The sequence below is a fragment of the Homo sapiens genome, chromosome 11, assembly GCF_000001405.40.
Source record: "Homo sapiens chromosome 11, GRCh38.p14 Primary Assembly".
Taxonomy (NCBI): Eukaryota; Metazoa; Chordata; class Mammalia; order Primates; family Hominidae; genus Homo; species Homo sapiens.
Window position 1 is genome coordinate 64,205,330 of NC_000011.10, and position 25,822 is coordinate 64,231,151.

The window sequence follows — 25,822 nt, forward strand, 5'->3', positions numbered from 1 at the left end:
CATTCTCCTGCCTCAGTCTCCCGAGTAGCTGGGACTACAGGCGCCCGCCACCACGCCCGGCTAATTTTTTGTTTGTTTGTTTGTTTGTATTTTTAGTAGAGACGGGGTTTCACCGTGTTAGCCAGGATGGTCTCAATCTCCTGACCTCGTGATCCACCCGCCTGGACTTCCCAAAGTGCTGGGGTTAACAGGCGTGAGCCACCGCGCCCGGCCTGGGTGATGGTTTTAATGCACGGCTCTTACCTGAGAACTTAGGGTGCTAAGCTTTAATTACACTTTTCCATGGTTGCAACAAGCTGCGTTTTCTAAAGCTCTCTTCCTGGACTGGGGAGGCCTTTGGGGCAGGAGTAAAACTTCCTCATTTGCTCCAAGAGTGCTGCTTTCTGGGCTAGGAAGGCGCTGAGACTAGCAGCTGGCTGGACTTCCTGCTGTTAGTTTCATCAGCTTTCTTTTCCCCTGGGAATCCCCGGCAGGCCGCCCCCTTCCCCATCTGAGTGGCGATGCTCAGGTAGCCTCCCCCATTGGCAGGACTCTGCCGCCCCCAGGCTTGCCCACCCTGCATGCTCCAACCCCAGTGTGTTCACTGGAAAGGCCGCTGTCCTGCGCAGAGCTGGTGGCGGACGTGCCTTGCTCTACTGAAGTCCACATCCTAGGGCAGGTGATGAGCAGGAGGGTATAGACCACCAGAGACCCCTGAGGTGTCACCTAAGCAGGGACTTGATGGGAGTGAGCCTCGTGGGGACTCGGGGAGGCTCATCCAAGTGGAGCACAGTGGAGGGGTCGTGTTTGGAGCTGGGTGACCTGAGGGCCCGGGAGGTTGTGGATGGTCTGGGCCAAGTACTGTTCACTTGTTCACCTGGCAGGTCTGAGTTCATGAGTTTGAAGGTAGCCCTACGCGGAGCTAGGAAAAACTGCAAAATGGACTTGTTTCCCTCTGGGGCCTTGAGGGATCCTTGGTTGATAGGGATAGCCAGGCTGGAGCCGATTTAACCTGTGAGTCCCAAATAACCTGGATACACTCTGTCGACTCCTGGGCTCTCCCTCCGGCAGCCCAGTGATGTTTCAAAGCCCAAGGTCCCCACCTCATGTGACAGGCTGAGGATGGCAGACACTTCCCACAAAAGTGGACCTAGCCCTGAACACACACAGCCGGGGGACTTGTTGAGTTTGCACTGAGCTTCCCTCCAAATGAGGAAGGGGGCGTTTTTATGGTGTTGAGTCGCTAAGCCCCGCTCTCCCTAGCTTCCTGTGCTCTCTGGGGACAAAGGTGGGGGGGCCCCTGGAACCCTCTGTGGGCTGGCAGTGTGCTTCCTGCACCCAGCGCCAGCCCGCCCTGGGGAGGGGCTGAACCCGCCCTGCTCGTGATAAGGCACAAGCAAGGGCTGCCCTGAAGGAAGCTCCAAAGAGAAAGGAGGGCAGGAAGCCCACGGCCCACAGGGGTGTAGCCCGAGACCCACCTGCAGCCCCCAGCCCTTGCCAGGAAAGGTAAGCTCAGGCCTCACTGGGACCCTGGGCCCTTCTCTTCCTTATCCTCCTGCAGCCTCTGCCCAGCCTGCCTCTCGCCATGCGGCAGCCTGAACTTTCCACCTCCCCGGAGAGGCTTTGGCTGGTTTGTGATGTTGGCATCTGAGCTGTGGGCCAGGATCGGAACTACTTCCTGGCCTGGGTACGAAGCCATGGCCAGAGTGGGCAGCTGCCCCTGAGGGTCTGGGAGTGAGCTGTGGGCTGGCATTGAGCACGGTGGTCCTGAGTGAGCCCCTTCTTACCCGGCCTCAGTCTGCCCGCCTGTAGGATGGGAGCGGATTGGACTACATGGTCTCTGAGGGCCCTCGCGGCTCAAGCGCCAGCGCTGGAGAGAGAGTCTGAGGGTACCACGGGCGTGCTGGCCTGGGTGCTCACTCCCGCCCTCCTTCATGAGCGGCTTTCCTCTGGGTGTGTCCAGGGCATCACAGAGCTCTTCTGCCCAAACCCGGAGGCCTACCAGGGCCTGCCCACCTTGCCTCCTTCCACACTCTCTGTAGCAGCAGCCGCAGCCATGGCGGGGATGAAGACAGCCTCCGGGGACTACATCGACTCGTCATGGGAGCTGCGGGTGTTTGTGGGAGAGGAGGACCCAGAGGCCGAGTCGGTCACCCTGCGGGTCACTGGGGAGTCGCACATCGGCGGGGTGCTCCTGAAGATTGTGGAGCAGATCAGTGAGTGTCCGCTGCCCGCTTGCTGAACTCGGCACCATGGGCGGCCGCCACGGGTGTCTCTGGGCACTTCCGGGCCATCCCTGCTGCTCAGCTCCCGATAATGGTGTCACGGTGACTCAGGCATTAGCTTAATCATTTGGTTCCAAAAAAGACATTTCCCCAACTTCCTCTCCCTCCCACCCTCTTCCCTCCCTCCCTTCTGCTGCAGCTGGTCTGCTAAGGATCAGACGCAGCCACAATCCTCCATTCAGCCACCAATAGGGGCAGAAGGAGTGGTCTTGTCTGGGCCGAGGCTGAAGTCACATTGCTGAGGTCTGAGGGGGTCTAGGTGACCCAGGGGCCTGCCCCCACGCTCCCTCCCCTTGGCGGAAGCTTTGAGCAGGTTGGTGACAGGCCCAGCCTGGGTGGGAAGGCCCTGCCCCCACAGGAAGTTACAGCAGAGCAGCTGTGGTATCAGTCATGGAGGACCACGGGGCTAGTGACACGGGGGCTCCTCATCTTCCTTCCCTGCCGGGGGTGGGGGCTACCCCTTCCTGAGAGAGCAGCAGGAAGACCCCGATAGGCAGAGCCGGAAGACAGGCCCACCACAGTCCCGGCCAAGAGCCTGGGCCTGGGCTGCCAGTGGGTGGGGGGTGGGTGATGGTGGGGAGGCTTCCTCAGACCCCGCCAGGCCACCATGTGCAGCACAGGAGGAGGTCAGTCCGACTGTGGAGAGGATAGGGTCCAGAACGGCCCGGCCACAAGACTGAGGCTGTGAGGGGAGCTGCCAGGGGCAGGGCCCGGAGCAGCTGTGAGAATAGAAGTGAGGAACAGAGAGAGGGTGGTGAAGACCTGGGTGGCCCCAGGGCACGGCATGAGGGTAACGCAGGAGGCCTTAACCTGGAGTCAGACAGACCCCGCTGCTCTACCCGCTGCTGGGCACCCCAGGGCAAGTTCCTTTAGCTCTGTGTTCCCTGTGGTGGGGATACTGTCACTCCTAAGCACATCAGCTCTGTCTACTGATGCTCAGCCTGGCCGCCCCGGGCCAGTCCCTGGCCTCCTGGAGCAGCAGCGGGTGAGACTGACCCATGGGGGCTGCGTGCCGGCTGCCGCACAGAGGGCGCTATCATGGGGGCCTGGAGCCAGAGGAGGGGGCTGCCCCGAGCCCAGGATGGGGATAACCCCAGGAGAAGTCCTGAGAGGTGGCCTCAGCAGGGAGGAGCAAGGTGGTGGCGCTGGGACTCGGAGGGCTGTGAATTAGGGCTCTCGGCTGGTGAGGATGCTGGGAGCGTGACCAGAAATGAGGCTGGCTGGTGCCTGGCCAGCTCTGCATGGCCCCGAAGGCCTCCAGAAGGGGTCTAGACTTTCTTCTGGAGGGGAAGGTGGCCACCGAAGGGTTCTCAGCAGGAGGCTGTCCTGCTAAGGTCAGCAGCAAGGCGAAAGGCTGGTGGCGGCAGGCCCCTGAGGAGGCTGTGGTCCTGGTTAGAGACACCAGGGCCTCCTAAGGCCGGGCAGGGAGGATGGAGAGGAGGGTGGATTTTAGAGGTGGGATTGGCATTGATTACATGTGGTGGCTAGAAGAGAAAGGGAGGATGCCTGGGCCTTTGGCGCGAGTCCGTGTCCCCCAGCCCTGAGAGGTGGTGTAGGGAGCTGGTGAGGAGGGGGAGCTGGCTAGGAGAGGGCACCTCTGTGCACAGCGAGTCTGAGCTGAGCTCCAAAAGCCGAGACCAGGAGTCATGGTGCTTACAGTCCCAGTGTCAGCCACTCGGCCACAGGAACAGAGGGTTCTGGAAAGGAGGAAGCCGGTGGACAGGCCCCTCAGCTGGCAGCACATGGGTTTCTGGCTGGGGGCCCAGGGCAGGGTCTGGGCCGAGGGCCACGCATGGGGAGGCAGCAGAAAATGGCAACTGAAACCACAGAATAGGGAGACCCAGTAAGGGGACCTGGCCGAGGCAGGAGAAGAGGGTCCCAGGCCGAACCTGGGGAAAGGACAAGGTAAGGGGCCGGTCAGGAGAGGGACCGGAGAGGGGCCAGAGAGGACAGGAGAAGAGCAAGGAGCCAAGACAAGGGGATGCGGCGGCACACAGCCAGAGTCCCACTGGGGTGCCCAGGAGGGAAGGGCCCAGCCTGGGAGGGGAAGTGCCGGAGGACGAGCGCTTCTCTTGGTTTGGCAGCAGTGGTGATGCCCGGCATGTGCAGCAGTGGGGTTGGGGGCTGGCTGAGGTGGGTGGGATGCAGTGGGAATCAGAAAACTCACCGGGAGGACCTGGGAGGAACTCAGGAAACAGGGCTTTGCAAACTCTCAAGGGCTGTGTGCCCAGAGCAGCTTTCCGGCAGCCTTTTTCCTATGCTCTCTCCCACCTGTTCATGCTCCTGGAGGGAGGAGGCGGGGAGACCTGTGCCTTCCATTACTGTAACTCCAGTTCCCAGCTGGCTGACAAGGGACAGACGCACATCTCTAATTCAATGCTCACTCATGGATCGTCATGTGCGTGCACAAGTTTGCTGCAAACCCTGCAGCTACCACATGGGAGGCCTTGTTCCGTGTCCCAGTTTGTAAGATCGTTATTGTATCTTACAGGGAAACTGAGGCCCAGTGAGGTTAAGTGGCTTGTCCAAGGTCACACAGCTAATAGCTAAAAATATTGAGTGCTCACTGCTCCAGGCCAGGCACAGGTCCAGGCCCTGAGGACATACAACGGTGAGACAGACGTAGTCTCTGCCTCCAGGAGCTCCCCAGAATGCAAGACAGAGGCTGTTAAACCGTGGATTATGGGAGGACAGAGGGGGCGTCATGTGGAGGGAGCCCAGTGGGCTGGAATGCAAGAGATGGGGCGCTAAGATTGGGGCACTCAGATGCTGGGTTGGAGAGCTCCCCTGGGAAGCGATATAGAAGCCAAGCCTAGAAGGCCAAATCAGGGGCTGCCTGCAGAGAGCCCTGCTGCTGTTACCATGGGGTAGACCCCAGGCCCGCCCAGGCTGCCCCACTCTTGGCTTAGGCAGGGCAGGGGAGTGGTCGCCCCAGGCTTCTGAATCCTGGGGTTGTGCTGGGTGTTGGGGGCACCAGGGAGGAAGGTTGGACCCAGATGTGCCCCCGTGCCCCACAGATCGCAAGCAGGACTGGTCAGACCATGCTATTTGGTGGGAACAGAAGAGGCAGTGGCTGCTGCAGACCCACTGGACACTGGACAAGTACGGGATCCTGGCCGACGCACGCCTCTTCTTTGGGCCCCAGCACCGGCCCGTCATCCTTCGGTTGCCCAACCGCCGCGCACTGCGCCTCCGTGCCAGCTTCTCCCAGCCCCTCTTCCAGGCTGTGGCTGCCATCTGCCGCCTCCTCAGTAAGTTGCCCGGCTGATTCCCCTGGCCCACGAGGGTGATGCAAAGAGGCAGGTTCCCCCGTTTCCAGGCCCAGCTCTGTTGACGCTGTCCTTGCTGTCTGGGTTGCCACCCTGCCTGCAGGGCTGTGACCCGCCCCAAGCACCCATGGGTGAGGTGGGGAGGCTGCAGCAGGACCTAGTCCCCGCTGAGACCCTAGCTCCCCTCAGGCATCCGGCACCCCGAGGAGCTGTCCCTGCTCCGGGCTCCTGAGAAGAAGGAGAAGAAGAAGAAAGAGAAGGAGCCAGAGGAAGAGCTCTATGACTTGAGCAAGGTTGTCTTGGCTGGGGGTGAGTGCAAGTGGGGGTGGGCCTGGGGGGTTGGGGGCAGGGGCCGGCCCGTGAGTCCCAGCCCTGGGGGACAGGCCTGGTTGACTCCCAACCTGCACTCCAGGCGTGGCACCTGCACTGTTCCGGGGGATGCCAGCTCACTTCTCGGACAGCGCCCAGACTGAGGCCTGCTACCACATGCTGAGCCGGCCCCAGCCGCCACCCGACCCCCTCCTGCTCCAGCGTCTGCCACGGCCCAGCTCCCTGTCAGACAAGACCCAGCTCCACAGCAGGTGCACCCAGGAGCCACGCCCCCTGTGTCAGGGCTCCCCCACCCAGGATCCACCCCCTGTCCCGTGTCTGTGCCCACCCCAGATCCACACTTCGTTTCCAGGCCTTTTCTCTGTGTGTGCTTGTCCCCCCAGCCCAGCCCCCCTCCCCACCCCACGGCCGTACCTGGCGCAGCCCTGACTGCTGCTTCTGCCGCGGCCCAGGTGGCTGGACTCGTCGCGGTGTCTCATGCAGCAGGGCATCAAGGCCGGGGACGCACTCTGGCTGCGCTTCAAGTACTACAGCTTCTTCGATTTGGATCCCAAGGTGGGTCGGGGCAGGGAGAAAGCGGGCCTCAGGTCCATGAGATGTGGAGACCTAGGGCCTGGGGTATGGGCTCTGGGATGTTAGTGACTTGTAGTGGCCTGTCCGTCTGCCCGTTTGTCCATCCACACCTTTGTTTACTGACCCCACAAACACCCACTGAAACTCATCTACTCACCTCAGCATCAGGCCAGGTCCTGGGCCCCGGGCAGATGCTGAAGCGGATGAAGACCAGTAAGTCTCAGTGCCTGTTTCCCAGGGAGCTGTCAGGGAGGAAGCTAAGACCCACAGATCCTCATAGACAGTGTGTGTGTGGGTGCCCCTGAGAAGTCTGGGGCTCAGGTGGGAGAGGCCCAAGCCTGGGAGCTCTGGGAAGGCTTCCTGGAGGGGGCACCATTAGGGACTGCAGGACCTGGGGGTGGGTGAGGAAGGAAGCTTTGCAGGGTGGCCCCTCTGTGCCCTGTTCACTCTTCCTCCCTTCCTCCATTGGCAACCAACATGCTCCAGGCAAAATGCTCCATGCAATGTGCTTCGCGCACATCTCAAAAACTTCCCAGAAGTCCACAGGTTGCTCTTTCTACCTGTAGGCCCCACCTCTCTGCCCCCTTTCTCTGCAAAACATCGTAGTTGTCTGAACGCTTGCTCCGCAGAATCCCACTTCTTGCTTCCAAGCTTTCTCTGGGTGCTGTTCGACTCCCTCTCACTCCTTGGCCATGGCTATTCTATATATTTTGACACCATCCACACGTGAGAAGTGCACCTGCTGAGGTGGCCACGTCTCCAGGCTATCTGTTCCCTGGCCATGTCCCACCCGCTTCTTACTTGACCACTTACTTGCAGCATAGACACCACCCCGACCACTCCTCCAGAATATCTTCCTCCTGAAGCCTCCTGTACACTTGCTTGGGGGGTGGCCTCTCCCCAAGCCACTCTGCCAGGCTCTGTGATGTTCCCTCCTCCTCTCCATGGCCTCTCGGTGTTGGTGAGCCCCAGGCTCTGCCCCAGGCTCTGCTCTGGGCCTCTGCTCTCTCCTCTCCTTCTCTCAGTCATCTCCAGTCTTGTGGATTTCAATACCATCTCCACACTCTCTCCCAGCTGATCATCTCCAGCTCAGATGTCTCTCTCCTAAGCTTTATTTATTTATATATTTATTTATTTTTATTTTTTGAGACACAGTCTTGCTCTGTTGTCCAGACTGGAGGGCAGTAGTGTTATCCCGGCTAACTGCAGCCTGGACCTCCCAGGGTCATGTGATCCTTAAGCCTCAGCTCCCCAAGTAGCTGGGACGATAGGCGTGTACTATACCTGGCTAATTTTTTTTTTTTTTTTGACATGGAGTCTTGCTCTGTTGCCCAAGCTAGAGTGCAGTGGTGCAATCTCGGCTCACTGCAACCTCTTCCTCCTGGGTTCAAGCAATTCTCCTGGGATTACAGGTGTGGGCCTGGCTAATTTTTGTATTTTTTTAGTAGAGATGGAGTTTCACCATATTGGTCAGGCTGGTCTCGAACTCCTGACCTCAGGTGATCCACCTGCCTCAGCCTCCCAAAGTGCTGGGGTTATAGGAGTGTATTTTTTTAGTAGAGATGGAGTTTCACCATATTGGTCAGGCTGGTCTCGAACTCCTGACCTCAGGTGATCCACCCGCCTCAGCCTCCCAAATTGCTGGGGTAATAGGAGTGTATTTTTTTAGTAGAGATGGAGTTTCACCATATTGGTCAGGCTGGTCTCGAACTCCTGACCTCAGGTGATCCACCCGCCTCAGCCTCCCAAAGTGCTGGGGTTATAGGAGCGAGCCACTGCGCCTGGCCTAATTTTTTTTTTTTTTTTTTTGAGATGGAGTCTTGCTCTTGTTGCCCAGGCTGGAGTGCAATGACGTGATCTCAGGTCATCACAACCTCCGCCTCCTGGGTTCAAGCAGTTCTCCTGCCTCAGCCTCCCGAGTAGCTGGGATTACAGGCGTTGAGCCACCATGCCCAGCTAATTTTGTATTTTTAGTAGAGATGGACGGGGTTTCTCCATGTTGGTCAGACTGGTCTCGAACTCCTGACCTCAGGTGATTTGCCCACTTTGGCCTCCCAAAGTGCTGGGATTACAGGCGTGAGCCACGGCGTCGGGCCAGCTGTGCCTTTTTATTCTAGTGTTTTCTTCTCTATGACATATTTCCACTTCTTTGTTTTGCCATTTCACACATTATCTATTGACTTTGTAAGAAGGTTTCACTGTCTTACATTCTCTTCCCTGCCCACACAATACACACATTTCCTTGCCTCTTTCTAAGTGAGTAGTGTCTGTAGTCTTTGGTTAAAACAATGTGATATGGCTGTAAATAGTAACACATATAAATAGTGTTCCTAGTTAAGCCACAGAGTAACTATGATTATTTTTTCCCTTTTTGCTCAAATGGTTTTGAAGTTCATAATTGCCTTTTTTTTTTTTTTTTTTGAGATGAGTTTTGCTCTTGTTGCCCAGGCTGGAGTACAATGGCACAATCTCAGCTCACTGCAACCTCCACCTCGCGGATTCAAGCGATCTCCTGCTTCAGCCTCCCAAGTAGCTGGGACTGCAGGCACGCGCCACCATGCCCAGCTAACTGTATTTATTTATCTATTTTTGTTGTTGAGATGGAGTCTCGCTCTTGTTGCCCAGGCTAGAGTGCAATGGTGTGATCTTGGCTCACTGCAACCTCCGCCTCCCGGATTCAAGCGATTCTCCTGCCTCAGCCTCCCTAGTAGCTGGGATTACAGGCGCCCACCACCACGCCTGGCTAATTTTTTGTATTTTTAGTAGAGATGGGGTTTCACCATGTTGGTCAGGCTGGTCTCAAACTCCTGCCCTCAGGCGATCCACCTGCCTCAACCTCCCAATATGCTGGGATTACAGGCGTGAGCCACCATGCCTGGCCTACACTTTTCTTTCTTATTTTTCGGTTCTTTTTCTTTCTGTGTCCTACTCTCCGGAGACCTCTTCAACTTATCTTCTAAAATATCTATTGAATTTTTAATTTCTGTAACTATATTTTTAAGTTCCAAGAGCTCTTGTTTTTTGAGTGTTCTTTTATAGGGTTTTTTTTTTTTTGAGAGGGAGTTTCATTCTTGTTGCCCAGGCTGGAGTGCAATGGCGTGATCTCGGCCCACTGCAACCTCTGCCTCCTGGGTTCACGCGATTCTCCTGCCTCAGCCTCCCACATAGCTGGGATTACAGATGCCCACCGCCACCATGCCCAGCTAATTTCTTCTTGTATTTTGAGTAGAGATGGGATTTCACCATGTTGGCCAAGCTGGTCTCGAACTCCTGACCTCAGGTGATCCACCTGCCTTGGCCTCCCAAAGTGCTGGGATTACAGGCATGAGCCACCACGCCCGGCTCAGCTTATTTTTAACAAATGTGTATGGTTGTGCAACCATCACCACAATCCAGTTTTAGAACATTTCCACTGCCCCAGACAAGCACTGATTGCACGATGCCCATTTGCAGTCATTCCTCCTCCCACACCCCGACCACCACTGATCTGCTTTCCATGTGGCTTTAATTTACATTTCCCTGATGACTAATAAAGTTGAGTCCCTTTTCATAAGGCTATTAGCCATCTGGATATCCTGCTTTGTGAGGTTTCTGTTCAAACATTTTGACAATTGTCATATTGAGTCGTTTGTCTTTTTCTTATTGATTTGTAGGAGTTCTTTATATATTCTGGATATGAGCACTTTGCCAGATAAATACATTGTGAATATATTTTCCCCCTCTGTGCTTTGCCTTTTAATTGTCTGAATGGTTTCTTTTCATAAACAGCAGCTCTTTATTTTAATAGAACCAAATTTATATTTTTATCTTTCTTTTTTTATTTTTAGAGATGGGGTCTCGCTCTGTCACCCAGACTAGAGTGCAGTGGTGCGATCATAGCTCACTGCAACCTTGAACTCCTGGGCTCAAGCAATCTTCCTGCCTTAGCTTCCTGAGTGGCTGGGGCTACAGGCATGTGCCACAAGCCTGGCTAATTCTTTAAAAATTGTTTAGAGATGGAGTTTTGCTACGTTGCCCAGATTGGGTCTCAAGTTATCCTCCCGCTTCGGCTTCCTGAGAAGTTGGGATTTTTTTTTTTTTTTTAGACGGAGTCTCACTCTGTCACACTCAGGCTGGAGTGCAGTGGTACGATCTCGGCTTACTGCAACCTCCGCCTCCCGGGTTCAAGAGATTCCCCTGCCTCAGCCTCCTGAGTAGCTGGGATTATAGGCATCTGCCACCACACCCAACTAATTTTTGTATTTTTAGTAAAGACAGGATTTCACTATGTTGGTCAGGCTGGTCTCACACTCCTGACCTCAAATGATCCGCCCGCCTCGGCCTCCCAAAGTGCTAGGATTACACGCGTGAGCCACTGCGCCCAGTTACATTCCTTTAAAAAAAGAATATTCTGGTCTTGATTTATGAGTGCAGTGCTTTAGCTCTGTAAGGATTTTTTTTTTTTTTTTTGAGATGGAGTCTTCTTCTGTCACCCAGGCTGGAGTGCAATGGCAAGATCTCGGCTCACTGCAACCTCTGCCCCCCTGGTTCAAGCCATTCTCCTGCCTCAGCCTTCCGAGCAGCTGGGATTACAGGCATGCACCACCACGCCTGGCCTAATTATTTTTGTATTTTTAGTAGAGACGGGGTTTCACCACATTGGCCAGGCTGGTCTCAAACTCCTGACCTCGTGATCTGCCCGCTTCAGCCTCCCAAAGTGCTGGGATTACAGGCGTGAGCCACCGGGCCCAGCCTCTATAAGGATTTTTTCGCCGGGCGCGGTGGCTCACGCCTGTAATCCCAGCACTTTGGGAGGCCAAGGAGGGCGGACCATGAGGTCAGGAGATCGAGACCATCCTGGCTAACACGGTGAAACCCTGTCTCTACTAAAAATACAAAAAATTAGCCGGGCGTGGTGGTGGGCGCCTGTAGTCCCAGCTACTTGGGAGGCTGAGGCAAGAGAATGGCGTGAACCTGGGAGGCGGAGCTTGCAGTGAGCCGAGATCACGCCACTGCACTCCAGCCTGGGTGACAGAGCGAGACTCCATCTCAAAAAAAAAAAAAAAAAAAAAAGGCGGGTGCCACCATGCCCAGCTAATTTTTGTACTCTACAAGGATTTTGATTCACGTTTGAAGTTCTCTTCTGCGCCCTACCTGGCCTTTATTTCCTCCAAGCTGTTTTATTCTTGTTGTCTTGGTCTCTATGGTTCACTCTTGAAGCTTTCCTTAAATGTGGGTAGTCCATGCCTGTCCATTCATATTTAAAAGTGAAGCTCTAAGAAACCAATTGGAGACCCTGAGTGTGTGAGTAGGGCTTGGCATCTTGGTGGCCCCCTGGAGGCGATGGGGCCGGGCTGCCACTCTTTGTCGGGCATTTCTCTGGTGGCTCAGCCTCTCAGTGGCAACCCCACTGATCTTTCAACTGGAGATAGAAGGCTTCCTGCCAATGTCTTGGGTGACAAGTGGGAAAGGGTGTGGGTGTGTCACTCATCTGAATGCCAGCTTTCTTTAAATTTGTGTTTTTGCCGGGCACGGTGGCTCACGCCTGTAATCCCAGCACTTTGGGAGGCCAAGGCAGGTGGATCACCTGAGGTCAGGAATTTGAGACCAGCCTGATCAACATGGAGAAAGCCTGTATCTACTAAAAATACAAAAGTAGCTGGGCGTGGTGGTGCATGCCTGTAATCCCAGCTACTCAGGAGGCTGAGGCAGGAGAATCGCTTGAACCCGGGAGGCGGAGGTTGCGGTGAGCCAAGATCGTGCCATTGTACTCCAGCCTGGGCAACAAGAGCAAAACTCCATCTTAAAAAAAAAAAATTGTCTGTTTTCACCCTAGTGCAACCCCCACCCCGTCCAGCTGTGTCTGGGGTACCAAATGCAGGGGTGCATCTGGCTCAGCATCTCCAGAGAGTGAGTCCCAGCTTCTGCCAGGTGTCTCCTTGCCATCACTTGGCTGCATGGAGCTGGGGAGGGACCTGCTTTTTTTCTTGGACTTTATCCAGAGTCCTCTCTTCAGCTCACCCTCGCATCTCATCCAGAGGATCCCCATCAGAGCCTGCCAGGGGTCCGCCATGCAAACTGGATGCCTCTGTTGAGATCTCTGTTCTTTTTGCTGATTGCTTTCCGCCTATTTTCAAGTCTCATTGGTGGATTTACCAGACAGGAGAGGGACAAGGCGTGAGGCCCTAGCGCTCTCTGCATAACCCAGTTCCCATCTACAGTTTGCTCTCCATCTTCCAAATTATTTCCTTTTTCCTTTTTTTTTTTTTTTTTTTTTGTGACGGAGTCTCGCTCTGTCGCCCAGGCTGGAGTGCAGTGGCACGATCTCGGCTCACTGCAAGCTCCGCCTCCCGGGTTCACGCCGTTCTCCTGCCTCAGCGTCCTGAGTAGCTGGGATTACAGGCGCCCGCCACCACGCCTGGCTAATTTTTTTGTATTATTAGTAGAGACAGGGTTTCACTGTGTTAGCCAGGATGGTCTTGATCTCCTGACCTCGTGATCCACCGACCTCGGCCTCCCAAAGTGCTGGGATTACAGGCGTGAGCCACTGCGCCTGGCCTTCTTTTTCTTTCTTTTGGAGACAAGGTCTCACTCTATCCCCCAAGCTGGAGTGCAATGGTGCAATTACAGCTCACTGCACCCTCAACCTCATGGGTTCAGGTGATTCTCCCACCTCAGCATCCTGAGTACCTGGGACTACAGGCACGCACCACCTCATGTGGCTAATTTTTTGTATTTTTAGTAGAGATAGGGTTTCACCATGTTGCCCAAGCTGGTCTGAAACTCCTGGGCTCAAGCTATCTGCCTGCCTTGGCCTCCCAAAGTGCTGGGATTACAGGCGCAAGCCACCGCCCCGGCCTGTCCTTTGTCCTTTTGGGTTTATCTTCCTAAACCTTTGCTATCAATTTTGGGTGAGTTTCAGCGGGATTGTTGGTCTTCTGTGGGTAACTGGGATCCCCTCTTGGAGTCTCTGCCTTCCCAGTTCCTTTTCTCTGGAATCCTCTTCCTTCACGCTTCCCTTGAGTGGCCCACTGTCATCCTTCCTATCTCTACTCAGCTTGTCACCTCCTCAGGGAAGCCTTCCCTGACTGCTTCCCCATGTTCCATTCTGTCATCTCCATTGAACTTGGGGGGGCCTTAGACTGAGGGCTCATGTGAGCTTCCCTGTGGAAACTGTTTCCTTGATAGTGTTTATTGCAGCCTTGGATTATTTGACTTATTGATTGGTTTACTCGGTCTCTCCTGCACCCAGGGCAGCATGCCAGCACACAGTAAACATCAGCACAACCAAGCCAAGGTTTAGACGTGCAGGCCTGGGCAGCAGGGGGCTAGCAGGCTATTAAGGATGGGGTTGAGGTCTGTGGCCCATGTCTGGCCACTGAATGAATCTGCCTCAGCAAGGAGGGCAGGGCAGAGGGCCAAGGCTGGCAGGGGCTCAGTGCAGGGCGTCCAGGGCAGCTGGCATCTGACCAGCCCAGCCTCCAGCCTCCTCTCCCCCCGCTCCAGACAGACCCCGTGCGGCTGACACAGCTGTATGAGCAGGCCCGGTGGGACCTGCTGCTGGAGGAGATTGACTGCACCGAGGAGGAGATGATGGTGTTTGCCGCCCTGCAGGTACCAGGCGGGCCTGGGGGCACCAGGGCAGGTGGGAGGTGAGCCAGTCCCAGGGCAGGAAGGGCCTTCCTGAGTGGGGGCTACCTCCAGGGAAGCCCGGCCTGGGGGTACTGCTAGGGGACCAGGCTGCTGGACTCAGCCCTCCCTGGCTTCATGACCACCTAGTACCACATCAACAAGCTGTCCCAGAGCGGGGAGGTGGGGGAGCCGGCTGGCACAGACCCAGGGCTGGACGACCTGGATGTGGCCCTGAGCAACCTGGAGGTGAAGCTGGAGGGGTCGGCGCCCACAGATGTGCTGGTGAGGAGGGGCTCAGGGCAGGGGCTGGGCAGGGAGAACTGTGAGGTACCGGGTGCCCCTCTGACTCTGGTCCTCCCATAGGACAGCCTCACCACCATCCCAGAGCTCAAGGACCATCTCCGAATCTTTCGGTGAGTTGGGGGCCAGAGTAGGCAGCCCTGCTGGAGGGGTTGGTCTGCATATGGAGGGAGGGGGTGAGGCGGCCTTTCACAAACCCCAGCATCCCACGAAGGCCCCGGAAGCTGACCCTGAAGGGCTACCGCCAACACTGGGTGGTGTTCAAGGAGACCACACTGTCCTACTACAAGAGCCAGGACGAGGCCCCTGGGGACCCCATTCAGCAGCTCAACCTCAAGGGTAAGTGCACAGGGCCAGGGGCTGGGTGGGGGGATCCCCACTTGTGGGCTAGGCAGGTGAATGCTCTCACCGGCCCTGTTTCCTCCTGGAGACCGGGGAAGATGCCCTCTGTCCTGAGGTGACGGTGTGGGCTAGGATGCACTCCAGGACCTCAGGCGGCTCTTCCCCTCCCGACCTCCTAGACCACCCCTTCTCTCCCTCCAGGCTGTGAGGTGGTTCCCGATGTTAACGTCTCCGGCCAGAAGTTCTGCATTAAACTCCTAGTGCCCTCCCCTGAGGGCATGAGTGAGATCTACCTGCGGTGCCAGGATGTGAGTGAGGGCTGGGCAGGGGCCAGGGCCGGGCAGGAGCTGGGGCAGGGGCAGGGGCTGAGGAGCATCAAGCTTGGTTAGCACTGTCCCCCTCACCCCTCTCGCCCAGGAGCAGCAGTATGCCCGCTGGATGGCTGGCTGCCGCCTGGCCTCCAAAGGCCGCACCATGGCCGACAGCAGCTACACCAGCGAGGTGCAGGCCATCCTGGCCTTCCTCAGCCTGCAGCGCACGGGCAGTGGGGGCCCGGGCAACCACCCCCACGGCCCTGATGCCTCTGCCGAGGGCCTCAACCCCTACGGCCTCGTTGCCCCCCGTTTCCAGCGAAAGTTCAAGGCCAAGCAGGTACCAGAAGGCGTCAGGGTGGGAATGAGCATAGTGTTTACCCAGAGACCTCTGACCCCTGGGTCTCCACAGAGCCTTCCTCAGGAAAGCTACGTACTCACTGGGCTTCTCCCACTGTGTCCCTGAGATTGTGCGGCTGGTACCCACCCTTTGGGAGGAGTCACGGTCCAGGTGCCCATGTCCACCTTGCAGCCTGGCGCAGTGCAGATCTGCACCTTGGCGGCCCCACGTGGGCACTGCCCCTTCCCAGGCTCACATGCTGTCACCCTGATGGGGAGGTGGGGGCTCGGTGACTCTGGAGGAGGGGAATAGTGCCTGGCAGCCCGTCACCAGTATGGTCCCGCAGCTCACCCCACGGATCCTGGAAGCCCACCAGAATGTGGCCCAGTTGTCGCTGGCAGAGGCCCAGCTGCGCTTCATCCAGGCCTGGCAGTCCCTGCCCGACTTCGGCATCTCCTATGTCATGGTCAGGTATGGCCCCTGGCCCAGCCCCCTGCCCAGCACCGTCTCTGCCCTCACCTGCCACCCGGCTGCTGTGTGCCCACATCCCAAGAGTAGGTTCTGGACAGGCACCCCAAAGACTCCCTTCCCTTGTTCTTTGTAAGCAGGCCTTACTGAGGGCCCCATGTGTGCCCCTCATGCTGTCCCTCCACAACAAACATAAGAGACAAAGCTCACGCCAGGTACTGGGGCTCATGCCTGTAATCTCAGCACTTTGGGAGGCAGAGATAGGAGGATCACTTGAACCCAGGAGTTTGAGACCAGCCTGGGCAACACAGAAAGTCCCTCGTCTCTACAAAAAATTGTAAAAAATTACCTGGGCATGGTGGTGGTCACCTGTAGTCCAGCTACTCAGGAGGCTGAGGTGGGAGGATCTCTTGAGCCTGGGAGGTCAAGACTGCAGTGAGCCGTGATCACACTACTGCACTCCAGCCTGGGTGACAAAGCGAGACTCTGTCTCAAAAATAAATAGGCTGGGCCAAGCATGGTGGCTCACACCTGTAATCTCAGCACTTTGGGAGGCCGAGGCGGGCAGATCACGAGGTCAGGAGTTCAAGAGCAGCCTGGCCAACATAGTGAAACCCTGTCTCTACTAAAAATACAAAAATTAGCCAGGTGTGGTGGCACGCACCTGTAGTCCCAGCTACTCAGGAGACTGAGGCAGGAGAATCCCTTGAACCCAGGAGGCAGAGGTTGCAGTGAACTGAGACCATGCCACTGCACTCCACGCTGGGTGACAGAGCGAAACTCTGCCTCCAAAAAACAAAACAAAACAAAAAACAAATAGGCGGGGCACGGTGGTTCACGTCTGTAATCCTTGCACTTTGGGAGACCGAGGCGGGCAGATTATTTGAGGTCAGGAGTGTGAGACCAGCCTGACCAACATGGTGAAACCCTGTATCTACTAAAAATACAAAAATTAGCCGAGTGTGGTGGCAGGCGCCTATAATCCCAGCTACTCGGGAGGCTGAGGCAGGAGAATGTCTTGAACTCGGGAGGTGGAGGTTGCAGTGAGCCGAGATTGTGCCACTGCACTCCAGCCTGGGTGCGAACGAGTGAGACTCAGTCTCAAATAAATAAATAAATAAATAAATAAATAAATAAATAAATAAAAGAGCCTGCGCGATGGCTCATGCCTGTAATCCCAGCACTTTGGGAGGCCAAGGCAGGCAGATCATGAGGTCAGGAGTTCGAGACCAGCCTGACCAACATGGTGAAACCCCGTCTCTACTAAAAACACAAAAATCAGCCACAAGTGGTGGCACGTACCTGTAATCCCATGTACTCGGGAGGCTGAGACAGGAGAATCACTTGAACCCGGGAGGCGGAGGTTGCAGTGAGCCGAGATCGAGCCACTGTACTCCAGCCTGGCAACAAAGCGACACTCCGTCTCAAAAAAAAAAAAAAAAAAAAAAGAGATTTCAGGTCAGGAGAGCAGAAGAACCAGTTCTTGCTCCAGCTCTGCTGTGGACAGTTCACTGTCTGGGCCTGGGTTCGCCGGTCCGCAAGACAGGGCTAGCGGTGGATGCTGTTATGGGGAGTGGGCCCCTTTGATTAGTTGTTTCCCAAGACTGCAAAGAAGGGAGGGAGACAGCAGTTGATGAGGATGGTAACAAAAACCAAAAAAAGTTACCATTTAAAGGCTTGGCCTGTTTGCCCGATGCTGCTAAATGCTGTTGTGGGGATTTTATCAATTAACCCCCATTTACCAGATGAGGAACTTGAGGCCCAGGGAACCCAAATGGCTTGCTCAGGGTTACACAGCTGGTGAGCTGCAGTCGGGAAGGGCTGGCTCTCCAGCACGGCGCCACATTGTCTGGGCGGGCTCTGGCCATGCAGGGTGGAGCCCTGGCTCACTCTCTCTCCCTGGGGGCCAGGTTCAAGGGCAGCAGGAAAGACGAGATCCTGGGCATCGCCAACAACCGACTGATCCGCATCGACTTGGCCGTGGGCGACGTGGTCAAGACCTGGCGTTTCAGCAACATGCGCCAGTGGAATGTCAACTGGGACATCCGGCAGGTGGGCCCAGACCCAGGGTATATGGATGGGGGACAGGTGCAGGCCGGAGCTGGATCCAGCCAGGGTGGGGCAGGGGCTGCTCCCTTATCCCACCCACCATTTGCCCCTCTGTCTGCCCTTCAGGTGGCCATCGAGTTTGATGAACACATCAATGTGGCCTTCAGCTGCGTGTCTGCCAGCTGCCGAATTGTACACGAGTATATCGGGGGCTACATTTTCCTGTCGACGCGGGAGCGGGCCCGTGGGGAGGAGCTGGATGAAGACCTCTTCCTGCAGCTCACCGGGGGCCATGAGGCCTTCTGAGGGCTGTCTGATTGCCCCTGCCCTGCTCACCACCCTGTCACAGCCACTCCCAAGCCCACACCCACAGGGGCTCACTGCCCCACACCCGCTCCAGGCAGGCACCCAGCTGGGCATTTCACCTGCTGTCACTGACTTTGTGCAGGCCAAGGACCTGGCAGGGCCAGACGCTGTACCATCACCCAGGCCAGGGATGGGGGTGGGGGTCCCTGAGCTCATGTGGTGCCCCCTTTCCTTGTCTGAGTGGCTGAGGCTGATACCCCTGACCTATCTGCAGTCCCCCAGCACACAAGGAAGACCAGATGTAGCTACAGGATGATGAAACATGGTTTCAAACGAGTTCTTTCTTGTTACTTTTTAAAATTTCTTTTTTATAAATTAATATTTTATTGTTGGATCCTCCTCCTTTCTCTGGAGCTGTGCTTGGGGCTACTCTGACACTCTGTCTCTTCATCACCAGCCAAGGAAAGGGGCTTTCCTGATAAAGACAAGAGTTGGTTAGAGAAAGGGACACCTAAGTCAGTCTAGGGTTGGAAGCTAGGAGAGAGGTGAGGGCAGAAGGGCACAGCTTTCAGGAACAAGGAATAGGGGCTGGGGTGGTGGTTCTCACGGGTAGGGCGTAGCTGCAGGGCCTCCTTGAAGTACTTGGGAAGGAGGAAGCCATCAGTATTCCCTGGAGTCAGAATCACCCCATTGGCAGAGCGGAAGAAGGGTATTCCATCTGCTGACAGAGCCAGAGATGTGACTCATGCCCTCCCCGAAGGCAAGGGCAGCTCCTGCTTTGTCCAGACTCACCTGCCAGAGCCAGGGGTCCATCGATGAACACAGCTATTTCACAATGGGACCGCATGCCTGCAGAGACAGCTGGAGCTGAGGCCTGGGCACCTGGAGTGCAGTCAGCAACCTAGGCAGACTGGGGTCCTGGGCTGGGGGATGCAGGGGTGCTGCTCCATGCCGGACATGGGGTGGCCCCAGACAAGTGTTGTAACCTTTGAAGGGGACCTGGGAGGACAGAGTGGGTGGGAGTAGCTAGGTGGAGGGGAGGGCACTGACCACTGATGATACCGGGGTCTCCAGGCAGTCCTGGGGCCAGGTGAATGTGCGTCCTTCCCTGGCAGGACAGGCCTTTGAGTAGGATGGATGGCCAGTGCTTCCAGAATGTACCATGGACTAGCATCGGGGGCAGGGCCTGCGGTGTCTCCAGGGGCATCAGCTCCAACTTAGGTACCTGGTTGAACGGGTAGCAGTGAGACCCCCTTCGCAGGCAGGGGTCCCTCCCATCTCGTCTCGCACTTGTCCCCTCACCCCGACCTGCAGGGAATGGCCCTGGTTGGCCCGGATGAGAAGGCCAGTGCTGGGATCCCCCAGCTGCAGGGCGAACCGCTGCTTCCTATTGGTGTCCACCACGCGCTGCACATCTTCAGCAGAGAAGCCGCGGAACTGGGGCAACTGCAGGAGGGTGCCCAGGGGCACGAAGCCATCTGTGGGCAGGCAGGGTGCTCAGGAGCTAACCTTGCTCTGGACTGGGCCAGGGTTAACAGGGAGCCACAGGCAACCGAAACAAAGTCTGGGCTTGGAGATCGCTTGGGCATCCTCTGTGGGACCTTTAGAAAGTCTCCCCTTTCTGGGCCGCAGTTTTTTCAACTTACATAAAAAGAGGATCTGCCTCACGGAGGGGCAGGGAGGTGAGTGCCCAGCATAGCGCTGGCCCGGAGTGCACACTCACACCACCAGCTGCACCGTATCCTCCAGGGCTCGCCCTCGGGGTAAGTGCTGATCTGGCTGCTTGGCTGGAGGGGGCGGTCACCAGGCCTGGCCCAGACAAGAACTCTCCTCAGTCTGCTGTGGACATGACAGGGGCTCTAGGCCTTGCTCTCCTCTGTGCATGGGGAGGAAGTGCACTCTGTGCCTTCCTCAGGGAGCGGTGGAGGCAGCCATCAGGGAGGAGTCGCAGACAGGCTCACGTTTCTCTCTGGGCTCAAGCCCCAGCCTCCAAGGCCCCTACTTACCAGCTCCCATGGGAAGCCCCAGCTTCAAGGCCCCATGGCGCAGGGCATAGGACAGAGCCTTGGACAGCTGCACGTCTCGGTCCTGAAAGAACCCAGCGGTGGCCCCTAGTCTCCATGGTGACCCTGCCCTACTGCCCATCCTGAACCCTCAATGACCCACTGCAGAGAGAGCCCAGAGAGAAAGGAGTGCCAGTGGTCTCCAGGAATAGTAGGACCCTTCAGCTCCGCCCCCCAGCAACTCCCAGGGAGCCTGGACTGGTGGGAGGGGGTGGGGAGGAGGCGCGCACCTGTTCTCGGGGTCTGGGAGCCCTTCTACCCCTGGACCCTGCTGCTTCCTGCCTCCCTCCTCCAGAGAAGTTCATGGTTAAGACCTGTGGGGGGCAGTGACGAGGGGGGACTGCTTTAAGGCCCCTTCCACGTCCCCATCCCTCCCAGAAAGTCACAAAGCCTCAGGAAGTGAGCGCTGGGTGGGAGTATACGGCTCATTAAGTTCACCACCCCCAAGTCCCTGCTGCAGAGAGGGAAACTAAGGCCCAGCAGGCCAGACTTGCCCAAGGTCACACGGTCAGCCAGGAGCGCAGGGAGGCCGAGCCCCGCACCCCAGATCGCTGGTGCGCCCCGCAGGGTGGTCCGGGAGGCAGGGCCGACGTGCCGACGGACCGGGCGGAAGCGTCGGGGCGGCGGGGACAAACCTCCAGGATCCTCGACCGCGGCGGACCCGCCAATGAAAAGCCGCGTGGAAAGGGGGCGGGCACTTCCGCTTCGGGGAAGGGGCGGAGCCTGAGGGACCCGGCGGCTGGTGAGCGCCCGCTGGAGGCTGGAGCTTCCGGGCCCTGGAAAGGGGTCCCCGCGCGCCCCGGGTCGGAGGCAGACCCCTGGGTTTGGGGGACATGGGCATTTGGGGCGCCTGAACCCAAGACCTCTGGATGGTAGGGATGCCCGGGCGTCCTGGATACCCTGCGGGACTCGGGGCTCCTGCGGGGAAGATGGCACGTTTTACTGCCCAAGGAGTGGTCAGGGGGGTGGAGAAGCGCTGCGGATACCCTCAGGAGGTCTGCGACAGAGGGGGCTAGCTGCGCAGCCCAGGAGTGGTAGTGGCCCCCCTGGATGACAGGCCTGGCCGTATCCTCCCCCAGAGCTGCCCCGTTCAGACCATGGATCCTGAGGTGACCTTGCTGCTGCAGTGCCCTGGCGGGGGCCTGCCCCAGGAGCAGATACAGGCCGAGCTGAGCCCCGCCCATGACCGTCGCCCACTGCCAGGTGGGGACGAGGCCATCACTGCCATCTGGGAGACCCGGCTAAAGGCCCAACCCTGGCTCTTCGACGCCCCCAAGTTCCGCCTGCACTCAGCCACCCTGGCGCCTATTGGCTCTCGGGGGCCACAGCTGCTCCTGCGCCTGGGCCTTACTTCCTACCGAGACTTCCTGGGCACCAACTGGTCCAGCTCAGCTGCCTGGCTGCGACAGCAGGGTGCCACCGACTGGGGTGACACGCAGGCCTATCTGGCGGACCCACTGGGGGTGGGCGCTGCACTAGCCACAGCCGATGACTTCCTTGTCTTCCTGCGCCGCTCCCGGCAGGTGGCTGAGGCCCCTGGGCTGGTGGACGTACCTGGTGGGCACCCTGAGCCTCAGGTGAGATTCCAGGCTGGGCACAAAGACCCAGACAGCTCAAGGGAGCTGCAGCTCTCCACCCTCCCAATCCTCCCAGCTTTGGTTTCCTCATTCCTTAAAGGGAAAATTGGCCTGGTATTTCTCTGGAAGTTTGCTCAGGGCAGTCCACCTGCCTCCCCACTGACCCCTGCCCCAGTCCTGTGAGAAACTAGAAAACACGGGAGGAAAGATTGGGCACAGGAAGAAGATGCCCTACTCCACCCCTGCCCCCTGTGTATCTCCTTTGAAGCTGGACCTCTGGTTGTCTGTCAGGGAAAGGACACCAGACTCAGGATCACTAACTCTCTTACACTGTGCCACATCAGACCCTCAAGGCCAGCAGGTATAGGCTTGCTGGTCCTGAGATGGGGCAGGGGGAAGAGGTGGGGAGCAGGGGCTGAGCCTGACCTCTCACAGGCCCTGTGCCCTGGTGGCAGCCCCCAGCACCAGGACCTCGCTGGGCAGCTGGTGGTACATGAACTCTTTTCCAGTGTCCTTCAGGAGATCTGTGATGAGGTGAGTGAGGTTGACCTGGACAGGGTGGTAGACATGAAGGGAGGGGGTAGGACTTGCCAGAATTCTACAGGTCTGGGCTGGCAGGAGGCCTGCAGGCATCTGGCCAGCAATGAGGGAAGAAGTTGGCTTTGCAGCTATACATACTTGGAGTGGAATTCTAGCCCTCAGTACCCTCTGCCTTGGATTCTTCTTCTTTTCTTTTTTCTTTCTTTTTTTTTTTTTAGACAGAGTCTCGCTCTGTTGCCCAGGCTGGAATGCAGTGGCACGATCTCTGCTCACTGCAAGCTCCACCTCCCGGGTTCACGCCATTCTCCTACCTCAGCCTCCTGAGTAGCTGGGACTACAGGCATCCGCCACCATGCCTGGCTAATTTTTTTTGTATTTTTAGTAGAGATGGGGTTTCACCTTGTTAGCCAGGATGGTCTTGATCTCCTGACCTCGTGATCTGCCTGCCTCAGCCTCCAAAAGTGCTGGGATTACAGGTGTGAGCCACTGCACCAGGCCGGATTCTTCTTCTTTTTTTTTTTTTTCTTTTTGAGACAGAGTCTTGCTCTGTTGCCCAGGCTAGTGCAGTGGTGGCATATCGGCTCACTGCAACCTTCGCCTCCTGGGTTCAAGTGATTCTCATGCCTTGCCCCGCCAAGGATTCTTCTTTTCAATGGAAACAATGATAAATATCTTGCCTACTCCCCAAGTCTGTTGAAAAAGGAGTAAGTGGCCGGGCGCCGTGGCTCATGCCTGTAATCCCAGCACTTTGGGAGGCTGAGGTGGGCAGATCACAAGGTCAGGAGATCAAGACCATCCTGGCTAACACGGTGAAACCCTGACTTTACTAAAAATACCAAAAGTTAGCCGGGCGTGGTGGCGGGCACCTGTAGTCCCAGCTACTCAGGAGGCTGAGGCAGGAGAATGGCGTGAACCCGGGAGGCGGAGGTTGCAGTGAGCCGAAATCGCGCCACTGCACTTCAGCCTGGGCGACAAAGCGAGACTCCGTCTCAAAAAAAAGAAAAAGGAGTAAGTGTGGCAGGGTGTGGTGGCTCACACCTGTAATCCCAGCACTTTGGGAGGCCAAGGCCAGCGGATCACCTGAGGTCAGGAGTTCGAGACCAGCCTGGCCAACATGGAGAAACCCCATCTCTACTAAAAATACAAAAAATTAGCCAGGCGTTGTGGCGTGCACCTGTAATCCCAGCTACTCAGGAGGCTGAGGCAGGAGAATCACTTTAACCTGGGAGGCAGAGGTTGCAGTGAGCTGAGATCGTGCCACTGTACTCCAGCCTGGGCGACAGAGCGAGACTCCATCTCAAAAAAAGAAAAAAAGAAAAAGGAGTAAGTGGGAGTCCCAGTCACTAAATTGACTTCTCTTGGGTGACCTTGGGCAACGTGTTCAATCTCTCTGGTTTTGGTGTACCTGTAAAACAAACATGCCCATCATCTGACATTCTGTAATGCTGGGTCCTTGATCTACAAGCTATAAAATGCTGTACACAGGTAACAGGCGGTTTTTCATTGAGACGGGCAGGGATGTGGGCAGTGGCATTGATAGGTGGGACCTCCCCCCACCCCACCCTCCACCGCAGGTGAACCTGCCGCTGCTCACCCTGAGCCAGCCCCTGCTGTTGGGCATCGCCCGAAATGAGACCAGTGCTGGCCGAGCCAGTGCCGAGTTCTATGTCCAGTGAGTAGGCTCGGGTACATGATCCTGGGTCTTGGGAAGGTGGGTGGTGAGGAGTGGGCTGAGGCAGCTGTGGCTCCACAGGTACCCCGCAGGGGCTGGTCACCCACTAAGCCACCCTTGTGTTCTTGTCCAGGTGCAGCCTGACTTCTGAGCAGGTGAGGAAGCACTACCTGAGTGGGGGACCCGAGGCCCACGAGTCTACAGGAATCTTCTTTGTGGAGACACAGGTGCAGAGTGACAAACCATCTTGCTTGGAGGCCAGGGCTGGGGCCTGCAGAGGCCTGGCAATGCATATCTTGTAGGGGAGGTGTTGGCTGGGTCACAATTCCCTCCAGAGTCACAAGATTTGCCCTCAGTGCAAGGGAAAGGTCCAGGGACATGTTCAGCCCCTTAACATGCCTCCCTAAGGACAGTGCAGAGGTCTCTGAGGCTCAGGAATTCTGGGCACAGCCCTGGCAGGAGAAGTGGCAAGCTTGAATGCCTGGGTCTCGTTGTCTCCCCACAGAACGTGCAGAGATTGCTCGAGACGGAGATGTGGGCTGAACTCTGCCCCTCGGCCAAAGGCGCCATCATCCTCTACAACCGGGTTCAGGGAAGTCCCACTGGAGCGGCCCTAGGGTCCCCAGCCCTACTCCCGCCGCTCTGAAAATAATAAACGACTTTATTCTTGGATTCCGTTGGCATCTGCTATTTCTGTAACAGAGAGGAGCAATGGGCCCTGAGTGTGTAAGGCAGGACAAGTGACTTGGGAAAAAAAAAAAAAAAAACCCGCCCAGCCTGTGTCCCCCTCTGCAAGCAGGGGATAAGAACTGTGCCTCCCTTTCTTTGCTGGCTCCAGAGAGGCTCCGGGGCGGAAGCAGCTCCGTAAGATATACCTCGCTGCAGAGGGGAGCAACAGCGGAACGGAGACACGGTGGCCGGGCCGAAAACGTCACAAAGCCGCAGAGAGCGGGCTCTGTCCCGCCCGCTCCCCAGGTGGGCGCCCGCGCCTGTCCAGCGAGTCCGCAGGCTGGGGGACCGGAGGCACCAAAGGCCAATAGACATGTAGGGGCGGGGTCTCCACCGATTTTTTTTTTTTTCCTGACAGGTGGACGTGGTCTTGGCATCCACGCCAATGAGAATGTGAGGGCGGGGCCTGAATAGACGCAGGAAATGGCGACGGCCGCGGGTCTGTGAGCAGCGGGGGCGGGGCCTGGTTGTGGCCCCTCCTTCTCCCGTCCCCAAGTTCCCTGGGTGGGAACGGGGTCTTGGGGTCCCTGGCTGGGTGGCCAGACCCCGAAGCCAGCGCTGGGAAGGGCTGCGGATGCCCGGGTCAGAGGAAGGGGCAGGTCCAAGGACACGCGGGTCTGGTCCTGGGCAAGAACCGCCCCCTCTCCGGGCCTGCTTCAGTCTTCCTTTGCAGAACAACGGGCCAGGCCCCTTCCCTCTGCCCCCGGGTGCTTGAAGTCTAGCCCCATCCTGGTCCAATGCGCTCTTGGTAGCCTCCTTTCCCAGCTGCCCGCCCGCCGCCATGCCGCCCTTACTGCCCCTGCGCCTGTGCCGGCTGTGGCCCCGCAACCCTCCCTCCCGGCTCCTCGGAGCGGCCGCCGGGCAGCGGTGAGTTGGGCGCGGGGGGCCGGCCCGGTTGTTCAATGGGTTTCTGTTTGCCCTACGTGCTGAGTTAGTTGTGGTCTCTACTCCGTGTCAGGAGGCTCCCAGGTTTGTCTCAGGTAACCCTCGCCTTCCCTGCTGAGGATCAGAGATAGAGAAGACCCCCAAGGTCATACACCGATTTAAGCGGCAGAGGAGGAAGTTTGAGTCCAGGTCA

The 25,822-nt window shown here is 57.2% G+C and overlaps 4 protein-coding genes and 1 long non-coding RNA gene across 43 annotated transcripts in view, besides 15 other annotated features; 3 read left to right on the forward strand and 2 right to left on the reverse strand.

Moving 5' to 3' along the window:
* Positions 1–563: an enhancer, noted in NCBI's record as "H3K4me1 hESC enhancer chr11:63972802-63973364 (GRCh37/hg19 assembly coordinates)". NCBI's record gives its function as "activates a minimal SCP1, AML or CMV promoter by ChIP-STARR-seq in primed H9 embryonic stem cells {active_cell/tissue: H9 hESC(primed)}" and the evidence as "EXISTENCE:reporter gene assay evidence [ECO:0000049][PMID:30033119]".
* Positions 1–1,126: a biological region, named in NCBI's record as "H3K4me1 hESC enhancers GRCh37_chr11:63972802-63973364 and GRCh37_chr11:63973365-63973927".
* Positions 401–660: an enhancer, noted in NCBI's record as "active region_4884". NCBI's record gives its function as "activates an Ori minimal core promoter by ATAC-STARR-seq in GM12878 lymphoblastoid cells {active_cell/tissue: GM12878}" and the evidence as "EXISTENCE:reporter gene assay evidence [ECO:0000049][PMID:35858748]".
* Positions 564–1,126: an enhancer, noted in NCBI's record as "H3K4me1 hESC enhancer chr11:63973365-63973927 (GRCh37/hg19 assembly coordinates)". NCBI's record gives its function as "activates a minimal SCP1, AML or CMV promoter by ChIP-STARR-seq in primed H9 embryonic stem cells {active_cell/tissue: H9 hESC(primed)}" and the evidence as "EXISTENCE:reporter gene assay evidence [ECO:0000049][PMID:30033119]".
* FERMT3 (FERM domain containing kindlin 3) lies at positions 591–18,562 on the forward strand. Of its 8 annotated transcripts, NM_001382448.1 has the most exons (16): positions 591–658; positions 1,541–1,666; positions 2,025–2,195; positions 5,282–5,515; positions 5,723–5,842; positions 5,946–6,114; positions 6,316–6,418; positions 13,922–14,029; positions 14,195–14,329; positions 14,411–14,460; positions 14,562–14,686; positions 14,891–14,997; positions 15,107–15,340; positions 15,687–15,811; positions 17,719–17,860; positions 17,984–18,562. In NM_001382448.1, the coding sequence occupies exons 3-16, from the start codon at positions 2,036–2,038 to the stop codon at positions 18,161–18,163; spliced, it is 1,992 nt and encodes a 663-aa protein (NP_001369377.1). In that variant the 5' UTR covers positions 591–658; positions 1,541–1,666; positions 2,025–2,035; the 3' UTR covers positions 18,164–18,562. The 8 variants fall into 8 exon arrangements, with proteins under 8 accessions (NP_001369377.1, NP_848537.1, NP_113659.3 ...); NM_178443.3 differs by lacking the exons at positions 591–658; positions 1,541–1,666 and adding an exon at positions 1,392–1,485 and having other exon boundaries at positions 2,022–2,195; positions 14,550–14,686; NM_031471.6 differs by lacking the exons at positions 591–658; positions 1,541–1,666 and adding an exon at positions 1,392–1,485 and having other exon boundaries at positions 2,022–2,195.
* Positions 1,561–1,640: an enhancer, noted in NCBI's record as "active region_4885". NCBI's record gives its function as "activates an Ori minimal core promoter by ATAC-STARR-seq in GM12878 lymphoblastoid cells {active_cell/tissue: GM12878}" and the evidence as "EXISTENCE:reporter gene assay evidence [ECO:0000049][PMID:35858748]".
* Positions 1,961–2,040: an enhancer, noted in NCBI's record as "active region_4886". NCBI's record gives its function as "activates an Ori minimal core promoter by ATAC-STARR-seq in GM12878 lymphoblastoid cells {active_cell/tissue: GM12878}" and the evidence as "EXISTENCE:reporter gene assay evidence [ECO:0000049][PMID:35858748]".
* Positions 2,981–3,100: an enhancer, noted in NCBI's record as "active region_4887". NCBI's record gives its function as "activates an Ori minimal core promoter by ATAC-STARR-seq in GM12878 lymphoblastoid cells {active_cell/tissue: GM12878}" and the evidence as "EXISTENCE:reporter gene assay evidence [ECO:0000049][PMID:35858748]".
* Positions 3,161–3,240: an enhancer, noted in NCBI's record as "active region_4888". NCBI's record gives its function as "activates an Ori minimal core promoter by ATAC-STARR-seq in GM12878 lymphoblastoid cells {active_cell/tissue: GM12878}" and the evidence as "EXISTENCE:reporter gene assay evidence [ECO:0000049][PMID:35858748]".
* Positions 17,588–17,697: a silencer, noted in NCBI's record as "silent region_3463". NCBI's record gives its function as "represses an Ori minimal core promoter by ATAC-STARR-seq in GM12878 lymphoblastoid cells {active_cell/tissue: GM12878}" and the evidence as "EXISTENCE:reporter gene assay evidence [ECO:0000049][PMID:35858748]".
* TRPT1 (tRNA phosphotransferase 1) lies at positions 18,470–20,928 on the reverse strand. 18 transcript variants are annotated; one of them, XM_024448709.2, is made up of 8 exons: positions 20,862–20,928; positions 20,457–20,540; positions 20,170–20,251; positions 19,472–19,641; positions 19,214–19,388; positions 18,956–19,012; positions 18,771–18,881; positions 18,470–18,638 (listed from the first exon to the last, which is right to left on the reverse strand). In XM_024448709.2, exons 2-8 carry the CDS (start codon positions 20,529–20,531, stop codon positions 18,547–18,549), a joined length of 762 nt encoding a protein of 253 aa, XP_024304477.1. In that variant the 5' UTR covers positions 20,532–20,540; positions 20,862–20,928; the 3' UTR covers positions 18,470–18,546. The 18 variants fall into 18 exon arrangements, with proteins under 18 accessions (XP_024304477.1, XP_006718770.1, XP_024304476.1 ...); XM_006718707.4 differs by having other exon boundaries at positions 18,771–18,884; positions 20,862–20,908; XM_024448708.2 differs by lacking the exon at positions 20,862–20,928 and adding an exon at positions 20,769–20,857.
* Positions 19,521–19,580: an enhancer, noted in NCBI's record as "active region_4889". NCBI's record gives its function as "activates an Ori minimal core promoter by ATAC-STARR-seq in GM12878 lymphoblastoid cells {active_cell/tissue: GM12878}" and the evidence as "EXISTENCE:reporter gene assay evidence [ECO:0000049][PMID:35858748]".
* Positions 19,763–20,485: an enhancer, noted in NCBI's record as "H3K4me1 hESC enhancer chr11:63992564-63993286 (GRCh37/hg19 assembly coordinates)". NCBI's record gives its function as "activates a minimal SCP1, AML or CMV promoter by ChIP-STARR-seq in naive and primed H9 embryonic stem cells {active_cell/tissue: H9 hESC(naive and primed)}" and the evidence as "EXISTENCE:reporter gene assay evidence [ECO:0000049][PMID:30033119]".
* Positions 20,651–21,060: a silencer, noted in NCBI's record as "silent region_3464". NCBI's record gives its function as "represses an Ori minimal core promoter by ATAC-STARR-seq in GM12878 lymphoblastoid cells {active_cell/tissue: GM12878}" and the evidence as "EXISTENCE:reporter gene assay evidence [ECO:0000049][PMID:35858748]".
* Positions 20,929–24,940, forward strand: NUDT22 (nudix hydrolase 22). Of its 12 annotated transcripts, none has more exons than XM_047427700.1 (7): positions 20,929–20,968; positions 21,306–21,803; positions 22,072–22,164; positions 22,239–22,337; positions 23,918–24,015; positions 24,149–24,242; positions 24,521–24,687. In XM_047427700.1, exons 2-7 carry the CDS (start codon positions 21,324–21,326, stop codon positions 24,659–24,661), a joined length of 1,005 nt encoding a protein of 334 aa, XP_047283656.1. In that variant the 5' UTR covers positions 20,929–20,968; positions 21,306–21,323; the 3' UTR covers positions 24,662–24,687. The 12 variants fall into 12 exon arrangements, with proteins under 12 accessions (XP_047283656.1, XP_047283663.1, XP_047283658.1 ...); XM_047427702.1 differs by lacking the exon at positions 24,521–24,687 and adding an exon at positions 24,854–24,940 and having other exon boundaries at positions 20,945–21,098; XM_047427699.1 differs by having other exon boundaries at positions 20,945–21,098.
* Positions 21,086–21,605: an enhancer, noted in NCBI's record as "H3K27ac-H3K4me1 hESC enhancer chr11:63993887-63994406 (GRCh37/hg19 assembly coordinates)". NCBI's record gives its function as "activates a minimal SCP1, AML or CMV promoter by ChIP-STARR-seq in naive H9 embryonic stem cells {active_cell/tissue: H9 hESC(naive)}" and the evidence as "EXISTENCE:reporter gene assay evidence [ECO:0000049][PMID:30033119]".
* Positions 21,606–22,123: an enhancer, noted in NCBI's record as "H3K27ac-H3K4me1 hESC enhancer chr11:63994407-63994924 (GRCh37/hg19 assembly coordinates)". NCBI's record gives its function as "activates a minimal SCP1, AML or CMV promoter by ChIP-STARR-seq in naive H9 embryonic stem cells {active_cell/tissue: H9 hESC(naive)}" and the evidence as "EXISTENCE:reporter gene assay evidence [ECO:0000049][PMID:30033119]".
* LOC124902687 (uncharacterized) overlaps positions 23,817–25,822 on the reverse strand; it is a 2,225-nt gene continuing 219 nt past the window's right edge. The window contains exon 2 of the long non-coding RNA XR_007062713.1: positions 23,817–24,708. This is a non-coding gene — a long non-coding RNA (uncharacterized LOC124902687). The remainder of the gene's footprint in view (positions 24,709–25,822) is intronic.
* The window catches only part of DNAJC4 (DnaJ heat shock protein family (Hsp40) member C4), a 3,850-nt gene continuing 3,130 nt past the window's right edge, over positions 25,103–25,822 (forward strand). For 3 of the 4 annotated variants that reach the window (NM_001307980.1, XM_047426865.1, NM_001307981.1), the window contains exon 1: positions 25,103–25,611. In NM_001307980.1, coding sequence (NP_001294909.1) covers positions 25,526–25,611 — 86 coding nt within the window. In that variant the 5' untranslated portion in view covers positions 25,103–25,525. The remainder of the gene's footprint in view (positions 25,612–25,822) is intronic. The other variant, NM_005528.4, reaches the window with a different exon arrangement.
* Positions 25,560–25,619: a silencer, noted in NCBI's record as "silent region_3465". NCBI's record gives its function as "represses an Ori minimal core promoter by ATAC-STARR-seq in GM12878 lymphoblastoid cells {active_cell/tissue: GM12878}" and the evidence as "EXISTENCE:reporter gene assay evidence [ECO:0000049][PMID:35858748]".

What these genes read in the sequence shown, in the direction of transcription:
- TRPT1 (NM_001160389.2), bottom strand. Translation starts at nt 20,531, where the DNA reads ATGAACTTCTCTGGAGGAGGGAGGCAGGAAGCAGCAGGGTCCAGGGGT. An exon ending in GGGGCTTCCCATGGGAGCTG is followed by an intron (nt 19,642 to 20,169) that starts GTAAGTAGGGGC and finishes GCCTGCCCACAG; the next exon opens with ATGGCTTCGTGCCCCTGGGC. An exon ending in CCTGCAGCTACGCCCTACCC is followed by an intron (nt 18,639 to 18,770) that starts GTGAGAACCACC and finishes TGTCTTTATCAG; the next exon opens with GAAAGCCCCTTTCCTTGGCT.
- NUDT22 (XM_047427699.1), top strand. An exon ending in TTCAGGAGATCTGTGATGAG is followed by an intron (nt 22,338 to 23,917) that starts GTGAGTGAGGTT and finishes CCTCCACCGCAG; the next exon opens with GTGAACCTGCCGCTGCTCAC. An exon ending in AGTGCCGAGTTCTATGTCCA is followed by an intron (nt 24,016 to 24,148) that starts GTGAGTAGGCTC and finishes GTTCTTGTCCAG; the next exon opens with GTGCAGCCTGACTTCTGAGC.
- FERMT3 (NM_178443.3), top strand. Translation starts at nt 2,036, where the DNA reads ATGGCGGGGATGAAGACAGCCTCCGGGGACTACATCGACTCGTCATGG. An exon ending in CAAGGTTGTCTTGGCTGGGG is followed by an intron (nt 5,843 to 5,945) that starts GTGAGTGCAAGT and finishes CCTGCACTCCAG; the next exon opens with GCGTGGCACCTGCACTGTTC. An exon ending in ATCTCCTATGTCATGGTCAG is followed by an intron (nt 15,812 to 17,718) that starts GTATGGCCCCTG and finishes CCTGGGGGCCAG; the next exon opens with GTTCAAGGGCAGCAGGAAAG.